General features: G+C 39.3%; 1 protein-coding gene across 3 annotated transcripts in view; it reads right to left on the bottom strand.

Moving 5' to 3' along the window:
- CNTNAP5 (contactin associated protein family member 5) overlaps positions 1 to 13,162 on the bottom strand; it is an 895,933-nt gene that overhangs the window by 354,026 nt on the left and 528,745 nt on the right. For all 3 annotated transcript variants that reach the window (NM_001367498.1, XM_017003316.2, NM_130773.4), the window contains exon 11: positions 3,871 to 3,977. In NM_001367498.1, coding sequence (NP_001354427.1) covers positions 3,871 to 3,977 — 107 coding nt within the window. The remainder of the gene's footprint in view (positions 1 to 3,870; positions 3,978 to 13,162) is intronic.

Below are 13,162 nucleotides of genomic sequence, written 5' to 3'. Positions count from 1 at the left end.
TCTTATCCACAAAGGCTGGACAAAAAAAGTTAATCCTATCTGTCCTAAGTCTGTCCTCTTGCTTCACATTTACTAGAAAGCACCAACAATGAGGGGGAAAAGACTGTTTTCGAAGAGCTTGACAAAACTAAGAGAATACTCAAGAAATTATTATAAATAATTTATTAATCCAAAGAGTTTGTATTTCTTGTTTCGACTGTGGTCAATTCCTTCAGTAAAACATCCCTCAAACACAGCAAGGATTCTGTCATTTCCACAAGTGCAGAATTTCAGGCCTATTTGTTTTTGTTTTTGCCAAAGGGTGCCCTGTGTGCCATCTTCTGCACTGCAGAAGCTCTCACCTGGCCTGTGAGTGGGACCCATGCTTGCTGAGAGTGAGGCACAAGCTTGCTGATGAAATCACTTGGTTTGCAAAATGACTAAAAACAATGGTCCTCATTCAACTGGGGGAGGGGGAAATTAGTTAGAGGGAGGACAAATATTTGAATTGCACAGGGAACCAAGGTGTGCTTGCCAAATGTCACAAATATTCAAGGGATTTTGATTTGTCCTGGCTGAGTGCCCAGAAGCAAAGATAGAGTTTCACAAAGTTGCAGCCTACAGTGTAGGCATTGAGCAATTTCACAGAAAAGGAAATAGGAAGGTGTTAAAAAATGATATTTTTAAGGTTTTTGTGTGTTGAGTCTCCTGCTCATCAGGCTTGACAGTGTTCCTTTAAAAATCAGCACCTCACCTCCATTGATTTTCAACTTCACACTTTTTTTTAAAGCTCGACATCTTCTATTTTTAGCCTGATGGATGAAGTAAATTAAAGGAGAACAGTATCCATAGAGATGAACTCCTCAAAAAATTGTTAAATTACTTTTGGAGAAAGTGAGCGGAATAAGCTTTAACAGTCACGGGAATGTTGTAATGTGATTTGGCTGAAATTCGGGTTGTTTTGACTTAAATCTTCATGTTTCCCTTGTCTTGCTATTAAATTGATGGCCATTTCAGTTGTCTCTGACTTCTTACAGCAGCACTGACGTTACAATCTGGACAGCCTTATGGGGGTCCTGCAACATTTCTCTATAGGTATATGGTGTTCTTGGCTATTTGGTGATAATATTTTTGGAACCAGACTTAAAACCTAGAGATTGGTGTTTACTGGGACTCTTAGATAAAAACACATAATTTTAGCCTTAGATGGACCCACAAGAGTTCATTAGTTTTTCTTCCTAGGATCTGCAAAAAAAAAAAAAGGATCCCTCAATTGATAAAATCTTATACGTATTCACATAGAAGAACTAGGTAAAGGCCGGGCGTGGTGGCTCACGCCTGTAATCCCAGCGCTTTGGGAGGCCAAGGCGGGAGGATCACGAGTTCAGGAGATCAAGACCATTCTGGCTAACACGGTGAAACCCCGTCTCTACTAAAAATATAAAAAATTAGCTGGGCGTGGTGGTGGGCACCTGTAGTCCCAGCTACTCGGGAGGCTGAGGCAGGAGAATGGCGTGAACCTGGGAGGCGGAGGTTGCAGTGAGCCGAGATCGCGCCACTGCACTCCAGCCTGGGTGACAGAGCAAGACTCCATCTCAAAAAAAAAAAAAAAAAAAAAAAAAAAAAAAAAAAAAAAAAAAGGATCTAGGTAAAATTTAAATTCAATCTCTGTTATTCTATTGTTCTTTTCACTGTTCTAAATTTCTTTTTAATTGTATTTTTATTTTTAATTTTTGTGGGTCATAGTAGGTGTATATGTTTATGGGGTACACGAGATATTTTGGTACCGGCATACAATGCATAATAATCACTTCATAGAAAATTGGGTATTCATCCCCTCAAGCATTTATCCTTTGTGGTATGAACAATCCAATGATACTCTTCTAGTTACTTTGATTTCTAAATTTATCAGTAGAAAAGTTTTAATGAGATATATTTTTATAAAGCCAAACAATATTTTTTTTGTTTCTGCAGGCAACTAACAGCAATAACCACATCACTCCCTGATGACCAGTGGACTAGTGGACTAGTTCTTCTCTAAATTGATCAGACTTCCCTATGGACATCATCAGTGAATCCTGCTTTGAAGGAATGGAAGAGGCTAAGGAATGGCTGAGAGGTCTTTAAAGATGAGAATATCAACGTTACTTATCCTTGGCTGGAATCCCAGGGTTCCAGCCCTATTGGCATCTACCATGCTCTTTCTGCATCCCCAAGTGCCAGCCCAAAAACAGCAGGCACTTAAGAAAAACCGGAGAGAACTGTCCCTGAGCGATAGTTCTCACTGGAGTCCTCAGAAGAGCTCCAGGCGTTGGCTGCACTCTTACGTCTAGAAAATGTTTATCTTACCCTTCTACCTTCTAAGCCAATTTCAAATTTCTAATTTTTCATGAAATGCTCTGCAATTCCAGACAGTGATTTCAGAATTATCTTTCTCAATCACACTTATAGTCCGTAGTTGGGCATACATTTCTCTGACTGGCAAACTTTCTATACTTTTTCATGTGTTTCCCCCTACCCGTGGTCTCAATAAGACTATACAATTATAAAAATCAGGGCTGGGCTGGGCACAGTGGCTCAGGCCTGTAATCCCAGTGCTTTGGGAGGCTGAGGCAGGCGGAACACGAGGTCAGGAGTTCGAGGCCAGCCTGGCCAACACGGTGAAACCCCATCTCCACCAAAAATACAAAATTTAGCCCGGTGTGGTGGTGTGCACCTGTAATCCCAGATATTCAGGAGGCTGAGGCAGGAGAATCACTTGAAACCAGGAGGCGGAGGTTCCAGTGAGCCAAGATCGTGCCACTGGACTCCAGCCTGGGCAACAAGAGCAAAACTCTCTCTCTCAAAAAATAAATAAATAAATAAATAAACAAATAAAAAATCAAGGCTCATATTCTTTATTTGTTTTCTATCCCTCACTCCTTATCTTGTGTACACCCTAGCCTATCTCTGTCTCCCCTCTTATCACTCCTCCTCACCTTCAGCACCCTCCAGCCATCTGAAACTATTTGAAAATTCCAATTTTCCACAGAGCAGAGGACCCCTGTGCTTTATGTCTCCATTTGTTTCTTTGCTTCTGAGTATCCTTTTTGTTTCTTTCTTGTTTTTGTTTCCTCCCATATTTCTACAACAAGATCAGCTCAGTTCTTCTATTTGAAGTCTCCCTAACACTGCGGTTGACAGGCAGTCATTAGCACTTTTCACCAATATTCAGGTTCTGTTTTCTCCCATTCCACGGCAAGATTGCACTTCAGCCCCTATTGAGGTTGGGTGTGCCCACGTGGCTTTATTTGGCCAGTGGAATGTGAGTGGAAGTAATGTTTGCTACTTCCAAGTAGAAGCTTTGAAAAGCTAGCCCATGTTTCCCTGTGCTTCCCTCCCTGTGTTTCCTCTTACTACAGCAATCTTCCAGATAATAGAATTTTGTTACCATCTAAGAACAAGGACAAGGTGGAAGAAGGGCCTTTGTCATGCATGATGGGTATGTGACACAGGTATAGCATGGACCTTGTTACTTAGACCACAGAGATGTTAGTTTGTTTATTATAGCCACCTAACAACTCATCAAGACTATGCAATTGACTTAACAGCTCCCTCTTGTGTGCCTACAGCACCTTCCTTTGCTTCCACCTTAAACTTATTCAACTGTACTGTCATGATCTCATTTCCTGCCTGTCTTGCTGGTAGACCATAAACTCCACAAGAATATGGCTTGTATCCATGCATCCTCTGAGCCCAACAAAGTGTTTGGTATATAATAACCTCTTAAAACACACATGCTGAATGAGTGAATAAAACATGCCTGCCCCATGCTAAATACATCCTGAAGTTAACAATGGTGTTCCTGGAGTTTTGTCCAAGCCACCAGGGGCAAATGATCAATCTACTCACAGTTGTGGCAGGTGGCACCAGTGTAACTTGTGTCACTGCAGTTACAATAGAAGGTAGTCCAGGACTGGGAGCAGCTTCCTCCATGTTCACAGTAGTTTGGCAAACACCTAATGGAAGAAAACATAAATGAAAAGAAAATAAACCAAATCATTTGGCAGAAAGGGGAAAGCAAAAATGTCTCATATCCAACTGCCTCAATTAATAGTAGATATTGATTTGCTATACTCCCATACCTAAGGCAGATTGAATGACATCAAAATAGTATGAATATTACAGTTTTAGCACAAAAGGTAGAATCACCTTGCATTACTGCGCAATGAAAGTCGCAAAGCTGATGTAAGTACTTAAGTTAAGGATGTTAATATTGAGGCAAATTCATGTTGACTTAAAGTTAATTTGAAGTGGTCAGAATTTGTAAGGTTTTTCACTTACTAAAAAATAAAATGTATAAAGATAATCATTTTACATTTTTTAATGGTTTTGTATTTTTAAAGGAGAGGCAGATAATTGAGGTCATTGTCCTCATGCTTCTCTTTTGGGGAATGACCAGGTATCTATTTTAAACTGCACAAAGACAACACGAAGTTAGAAAAGATGATATTTGTTCATCTAAAATGCAAGGGTATTTTATCATTTGTAAAAGTGTAAATGCTATCCTTAAAACAAAGGCTTCACTACTTAAGGTCAAAATAACATGGCTATTCTGAAAAATATTTTTACCACACACATTAAAAACTCCATAAAATATTTATATAATTAGAATCAGCAATCACACTGAGATGACCTTGTCTTAAGGCTATTGTTCAAAATATGAAAAATATATATGCTAATTAGTGTTATTCACAATGATGCCATTCATAATGGTGAATCAACATAAGTGTCCAACATTAGAAAATTACTTAGGAAATCTGTAGTACATAAAATTAATGGACTATCATAAAACTCCAACAAATGATGTGGACAAACATGATTATAACAGAACAAACATGATTATAACAAACATGATTATAACAGGACAAACATGATTATAATAGATTAAGTAAAAGTTTAAGATACGAAGCATGAACACCACAAAATAAAACACAGGCTTTATAAACTTCAAAAATAGTTGAAAGGAAAAATCTTTAGACTTGGGCTAATGGGAGTGGAGGTAACATTTTTTTCTTCCAGACAGAAATCACAGACTTTAGGGAGACATGTATCTGAGTTCAAATCCCCTTTACTACATGGTGCCTTTGGGTTATTCTTTGCACCTCTTATACTGCCACCATTAAGAGATAACCTGGTTGGTGCTCAGTAAATGCAGTGAATGAAATTAAGAGTAAAAACAATGATACATACCATAATTTTTGAAAACAATCTTTATAGGGCCTGAGAGAGTACAGGAAAATAAATTCCGCGAATTTAAAAAGAGAGAGGGTGCAAGCAATGAAGTTACAGAAGTGGTATATAATACAACAAATGGGTTCATTGTGAAGCCACTAAGAATCTGAGGCAAGCAAAAGTAAGATGATTTACTCTGACTGCCCTATATAAGTAGGAAAGCCTCCAGCAATGATTGTTTCAAATCCCAGAAACTAATATTCCTGCATATGTTCAGACATATTAGAAATTTTCTGCTCAGCACAGCAAATATACAATTGTGCTGACAGGGCTTATGTTTGGGAAAAGCTTGTTGATAACTTTATGGTATTCAACGATAGCCTAAAGTACAGGAAAGATTTAAATAAAGGACCCATAGTTTTGTTACGGGATGTATTCACACAAAACAACCAAACAAACAAACAAACAAAAAAGTGGTCCTCTCTCTGTTCAAATTCTACCTTTCCTTTTTATTCCCACCCACTCTCCTGGTCTTGGTGGACAGCAGAGGCCACAGGCTTTTCTCTTGGGTAACTCAGAGATCCTGTCCTGCTCTATGCCTGTGCTGGGAGGGAAGTTCCAAAAACTTAGAGCCTTGATGTCCTCATCCCAGTAAGGATTTCTTTCTCCAGGCATGTCCTCAGGAGATCCTGGGGGGCTAGCACTGTTTTGAATGCCCCCTGTCCCCACACGCTGTTTCCTTTCACATCCCAGCATCTCCCTGCTTCTGAAATACTGCTTCTTCTGCAGTTTACCTTGTGCCATAATTTTCTCTTCTGAAGCTGCCCAGTTTTTCCATGACCTTTCCACACCTCCTTTTGCCCCAGCCCATCCCCTCCCCACAGCACACACGTAAACACAAACAGAGATTTCCATATGAGCAAATGATAGTATTATTGCTGCCCTCCCCCAACAAAACAAGAAATTGCCTTAAGAAAGAAAAACTGAGCAAAGCACACTCAATAGGTGCTTATTCTGTAGTTTTTTTTTTTGTTGTTTTGGGCCCCAAGAAAGTTCAGGGTTGACTTTTTTTGGTGGCTGAAACTATAAAATAAAAAACCCAGACATTCTCAGTGGTCAAGTTTTGAGACACAAGAAAATTTGTCTGCAGTGAAAGAGAGACAGAATAAACAAAAAATATGCTGACATGCAGCAAGCAGCAAAAAAGGGGGATGCCAACACTGTGTGGTCGGTCCCTGCTGTCCTTGAGACTTCATTGCACCCGTGAACTTCCTAAGAGCTGGCTATTTTCATATATATTAGATGCTGTGAAGTAGCCTAACCCTTTTCCAGAAAAATCCCCAATGCAATTAGGATAGTCCGAGCTGGGATTCTCTTACATTCAACTAACAGAATTTTAACTTTGGGTAAGAAAGAAGAATCCTGTAATTACAAAAAGAAAAAGAAACGTTTTCTGCACTTTAGTTTTTTTTTTTTTTTTTTGAAATGGAGTCTTGCTCTGTCACCCAGGCTGGAGTGCAGTGGCAAGATCTCAGCCCACTGCAACCTCCACCTCCTGGGTTCCAGCGATTCTCCTGCCTCAGCCTCCCGAGTAGCTGGGATTACAGGAGCCTGCCACCATGCCCAGCTAATTTTTGTATTTTTAGTAGAGATGAGGTTTATCCATCTCTACTACGGGTTGGCCAGTCTGGTCTGGAACTCCTGACCTCAGGTGATCCACCTGCCTCGGCCTCTCAAAGTGCTGGGATTAGAGGCATGAGCCACATGGCACCTGCCCCACTTTAAATGTTTTTAAAACAAAAGATTACAAAATCTACTTCGGCATGTTGGGAGAAGGGTTTAGGGGAAAGCTCTAAGAAATATCTGGGCACTTAGAACACATATTTAATATGCCTCACACAGACCTTGTTTTACAATGATAAACTCAATTTACCATAAAAATGTAGAAACTACATCTTTATTAACTTACTAGAAACTCATTTGTCTATGGTCACTCAGAAAAGCCAATGATGCATTCCTGGAAGGGTAAAAGAGTACTTGAGCAAGGAAAAATCTAGTTTTCCCAGAATGAGAAAGAAAAAATAATAATAAATGAGCACTAGTAGAGCTGCCTTCAAGCTTGGTTCATTTTGGTTCAATGCACACTGTGATTAGAAAAACTCATCTGTAAAGAAGACGCTTGAGATAAAAGACACATGACACCAATTTTCTTATTTAAAAGGGGCAGTTTCATGAGTATAATTTCCACATTCTTTAATCAGCTCATTTTAACTGGGCTTTTGTTTCTTTCTCTGTCTACGTGGCATAAACTGAGCATCGAAGACATTAACCCAGAAAAAGACCCATCATAGAACTGGGAAGTGGAAAGAGTGAATTAAGCGTGAGGGCACTCACTCTTTTAGGTGTAAGGCTCTTAATCCAAATTGCTAGGAGATAAACACATTGAACATCTGTCTTCTAAAATCCTAACGATATTGCATCTATAACTGCATCTGGATGGATGTGACCTCCTTTGGTGCACAATGTTTAACAAAGAAAGCTTTCAGCATGGACACAATGGCTTTCCTCTTACTCCCCAAAGCCCTGGTGATGTGTCCCAGGAAAAACTTAGATAGTGTGGCAGACACATTGGAAGCTGTTAGCCTCTGTATAAAAGCAGAATGTGCATTGTCTTAAGGGAAATGAGATAAAGGATTGAAAGAAAGAAAAGAGATAGGAATGAAAGGAGAAAAAAAAAGTCAGAGGGTTAAAAGTCTTTATAATGTTTATCCAAATAAAAAATTCTTCCAAAAGAGAAGGATCATTGCTAGGTGGGGCTATTGACAATCCAGGTAATAGATAAAGTGAAAAGGTTTATCTAGAGTGGTCCATGGACCTAAGCTCACAGTCCATCCTACAGAGGTACATGGTTTGGGCCTCAAGGTGGTTGTTTTGTACTGTGTTTTGCTGTTCATGGGAAATATGAAGAAACAAAGTATTTCTTTTTAAAGGCAAATGCACAGCAATGGAGAAAGCCAAATAAACTGCTTCAGAGCAGAGATAAGATTTTGTAGGATGTTGTGAGATTGAGCCACTAGGTAGACTAGAGACAGACATTTCTGAGTATGTAAACTGGAGTCCAATTTCATCCTGGCAAGCACACTTTCAGCAGAACATGCTCTCTCTAGGTCAGCCTTAAGAAGAACAAAAGGACCCCCACAGCTTTCCTTCAGGAAGATCAGAGTGGTTATTTCTCTGTAACTTAGCTTTAACTGGGGCCGGGCTGAAGTTTCCAGCTGGAGTGGATGAGGCCTGGGAAAAGTGTGATGAAAGCAGTAGGAATCAAGACAGTTCAGGGAAATGCAGTCTGGCAGTTTGTTTTTAATTTGTAAAGTTTCACAGAAGAAATATGAATTTTTGGCTTCTTTTAAAGCAAAAATAAGATTACTGAGCAAAGTCAAAGCAAATCTCACGGCTACACACCAGTGACTTCAACGTTTAGATCTGAGTTCAGTCTTCGCTCCTGAACTCCAGACTCCTCTACGCAGCTGTCTGCTGGACAGCTCCACGTGGGTGTCTAATAGATATTACTTTCCAATCTCCTCCTTCACCCTGCCCCCACCACCTGCTTTACCTGTGTTCTTCACTATCACAGTTGATGTCAACACCCTCCTTACTAGTACCCAGGTTCTTAAACTTGAAGGTCCTCTCCTTCTCTCATAGCTTATATCCAAGATGTGAGCAATTCCTGCCGGCTGGGCCTTCAGAAGCTGTCCTGAATCTCACCACTTATCACCCCTCCCCTGATGTTCCTCTAGTCTGAGATGCAAGCATCACTCACCAGAATAACTGCAATTATCAACTAACTGGTCTCCCAGCTTCCATCCTTGACCCCTTCAGTTAATTCCCAACACAAGAGCAAGGGGGACCCTATAAAAACCTAAGGCAGATCATTTTAAACGCGTCTCCTCTGGCTCCCTATTTTATCTAGGGTAAAAGCAACATCCTTAAAATGATCTTCCAGTTCTTATTGATCTGCTCCCCTTAACACTCTCAACTCACCCCTACACTTTTCCCTTTTCTACATCTGCTCCAACCATGTTGACTTTGTTGTTCCTAAAGCACACCAAGAATGCTACCTTGTCAGGGTTCTTGCACTGGAATTCTCTCTACCCAAAGCATTTTTCCCCAGATGTCCACATGCCCCATGTCTCAGCTCATGTTCCTGCTCAAGTGTCACCTTCTCAAAGGGGCCTGCCACCATCATGTTATTTAATGTGCAAACCTTCCTCATTGTTTCCCTGGAATCTCTTTTCCTGCCATTTTATTTGTCTTTAGTGTGTATTATCTTCTGACACACTAGATACTCTGCTTATCCATCAGTTTATGATTCAGTGTCTGTTTCTCTGAAAATGAACGTTAGCTCCATAAGAGCGCTGCTTGTTGTCTGTTTGGTCCACTGACGTACCCAAAGTAGGAAGCAAGGTAGGCACTCTATAAATTGTTGTAGATTGAGTGAATGAATGACAGGCATTTCTGGGGTGCAGCCCTCTGTTAGCTAAGCCTCTTCAGTTTGTCACAGCCTTGCTGGCCTTCACCCATTTACTATTACCTGCACGCTCTTGAGCAGCACAATCAGAGCTCAGTAGGAAAGAGGGCAGGCAAAGGAGCCTCACTTTTGTGTTTTTTTTTTAAGAGGTGAGAAAACAGTGGAAAAAGAGCCTTCTTCTGTGCAGCCACAGGCAAGGAGCAATTGAGAGAGGGAAGAGAAACTCAGGTTTCTCTGAGTGGAGAAGTAAGATAGAGACCATAAATTGGACGTTCTTTAGTGGCCACTTAGGGATGCAAGTCAGTAATGCAATTCCTTTTGATTACTTATGTCCATTGAGCTGTATTTTTGGGCCCTAACAACTTTATTGCTTAAGTACTTAGAAAGATAATTGTCCTCTAATTGGATCAGAAGCAGAACCCTTATGCATGATGCAACTTAGAGCTTTTTTTTTTTTTGAGCGGGGGGGAAGGCAGGAGAATATCTAGCATTCCTGATAAAATCTTTGTACAATTTTGATAGATTTTCATGAGATAAAAAGTCTGCTGAAAAATTCAATTTACCCATCCAGCTCACCTTGATCCTTGTTACCTTTAACCAAACCTGACTTTCTGATCTCCTCCCTCACCCTGCCCCCACCACCTGCTTCACCTGTGTTTTTCGCTATCACAGTTGATGGCAATACCCTTCTTACCAGTATCTAGGTCCCGAAACTTGAAGATGCTCTCCTTCTCTCATAGCCTATATCCAAGATGTGAGCAATTCCTGCTGGCTGGGCCTTCAGAAGCTGTCCTGACTCTCACCACTTATCACCCCACCCCGATGCTCCTCTAGTCTGAGCCACAAGCATCTCTCACCAGAATAACTACAATTTTCAGCTAACTGGTCTTCCAGCTTCCGTTCTTGACCCCTTCAGTTAATTCCCAACACAAGAGCAAGGGGATCCCATAAAAACCTAAGGCAGATCATATTTTAAAATACAATAACCTTAAACTAGCCTTAAGACTATCTTAATAATTTTTAACCAAACTTTTTTTTCCTTCCTATTCTCCTACAAAATATCTCCACCAAGAGGAAATTTTGATCTTGGCTTCTTTAAGGCTTTTCCCTGGCCAAGAAGCTTGAAAAAACTTTGACATGTGCTCACAATCACATCTGGGATGTTGCTTTAATGGTATTATTTCCCCTGTTTTACAGATTTAAAAAGTGAGACTAGATGAGGGTGAATAACTTGTCCAAGTACAAAGCGACAGAGTCAGGAAGGTGAAGCATACTACCTGTCACTGAAGCCTGTACTCTAGAGCACTGCACATCCTCCTTCAAACAAATGCCAGATCATCTCCCTAAAAGTGATACCTAAGCCTACATCTGAGGCATCACTTCTGCCAAAGTGAGGGTTAGGGGGCTTTGCATATTTTGCACTGATTCCAGACACTGTTATGCAATGTGGAGTTGTCAGTTTAGATTTTTTTTAAAGATAATTTTTGGTAGGAAAAGGAATCTTAATATGACAAATGGATTAATTTGAAATAAAATTACACTAAAGAAAAAATATGTACGTTTGCACAATTAACATAATGATATCAAATTTATTCTACAAATTCCCAATGGGAAAGGAGATGTCAATTCTATTTTCAATCCCTCTTCGCTTCTAGTTTGTGAAATCTTTAAAATAGATTAACCCAGAAGACAGCCTTTGCCCCTGCCCTGCTCTTGTAGTTTACATTTTTTGCACATGACAGAGTTTTTCTGTGTCCTGAGCCTGTGTAAGTTAACATGGTTGCTTCCTCTTTCTTACTACTAATGTCAGAAAATTTCAGACTCTGCCTGCTTTTAGTAGAAAGACCTTATTAGTTATCATTGCAAGCCAAATAAAATCATTTAACCTACCAAACTTTTTATTGCAAAACTTAAGTTGTATAATCCCACAAGTACAGAAAAATGTAAGAGTTCATCAATGTGTATTAAGCAAATGGAAAATTCATTGAGGATTCATATTTGGTCTTTGAATCCAATGATACAGTGATATGGGTTTCATGGTCAGCCAACTGTGGATGTTATGGAGACCTTGTCTGAGCTTCCACGCATAGAGGCCAAAGTGCTCCACCACAGTCACCAACACTGACAGCCTCAAATCTTCATCACTTAGCACATTACACGTCTTCCTTAGGCATGCAATTTTTAAGCCCAGAAGTTTCCAAATTCAGTATCAAAAGTTTAAAATAATCAAAACTATGGTATGAATGTTTTTGGGTAAAGAAGTATGGTACTGAAAGAGAAAAAAGGTCACAAAACTGGTCCTGGACAGAAACTTCTGTGTGTTGTAATTTTCACTTTTCTCAGAAAAAAATAGCATTCCCAAGTTAAAAAAAATACTAGAGCATATTTATGATGAATTTTAACAGGGTTAAGACTCAGTATCAGTTGACAGTCTTAGGAAGAACCTTACCCTTAGAATCTTAATGTCTTACATCAAGTCATGAAGTCTAATAATCATTCATTGAGTTTTTAATTTTTAAATTTTTCTAAAAACATTAAGTCTAACAATGAATATCTCATTTTTCTTTTCTCTTATGAAGATCCCCTGCCAAGAGTGAATTTTTGAATTGGCCAGCTCTAGTTTGTGTCTCTTGTAGGAAGATTATAATAAAACTTTGAAGATATTTTAATAGTCCTTTTGTGTTTGTAGTTTTTAAGAGAATTTGGCCTATTCGAGTATAATTCTTGTAAACTTCACTTTAAAATGTGTAAGGCTGAGCTCAGTGGCTCACCCTTGTGATCTCAGCCCTTTAGGAGGCCGAGGCAGGAGGATTGCTTGAGGTCAGGTGTTCAAGATAAGTCTGGACAACACATGGAAACCCTGTCTCTACAAAAAAATTCAAATATTAGCTGGGTATGGAGGTGCACGCCTATAGTCCTAGCTACTTGAGAAGCTGAAGTGGGAGGATTGCTTGAGCCCAGGAATTTATGGCTGCAGTGGGCTATGACCTCACCACTACACTCCAGTCTGGGTGACAATGTAAGACCCTGTCTCAAAAAAAAAAAAAAAAGAAAAAAGTATGAGACAACTGATTTAGATCCTTAATTGAAATCTTCCTTAGTAAAAAACCTAAGAAAGAAGTTCATTTAAGTTAAATGTTTATTTTCTGAATGTTCAAGTTTGACAAGTGTTTGTCACATTCTGTTTGTTCACTAACAAATCAATGAACTTGGAAAGTTAATAAAATATATCACATATGTAGTTTAAAGTATTTGAAGGTACTTAAATAACTAAATCCAGGATTAAACATTTCCAAAGGTCCCTTAGACTTGATAGCTAAGACCTGCTAGATTTATAAATAGAAAAAGACATTGTAAGTTGAATTTTAAAAAAAGAAAAAAAAACTTAAAGAACAAGGATTTTAAAATTTTAAGAAATTCGACATCACTTTTTTAAAACCA

The sequence above is a fragment of the Homo sapiens genome, chromosome 2 (assembly GCF_000001405.40).
Source record: "Homo sapiens chromosome 2, GRCh38.p14 Primary Assembly".
Lineage (NCBI taxonomy): Eukaryota > Metazoa > Chordata > Mammalia > Primates > Hominidae > Homo > Homo sapiens.
This window is presented reverse-complemented; position numbering and strand designations above follow the sequence as displayed.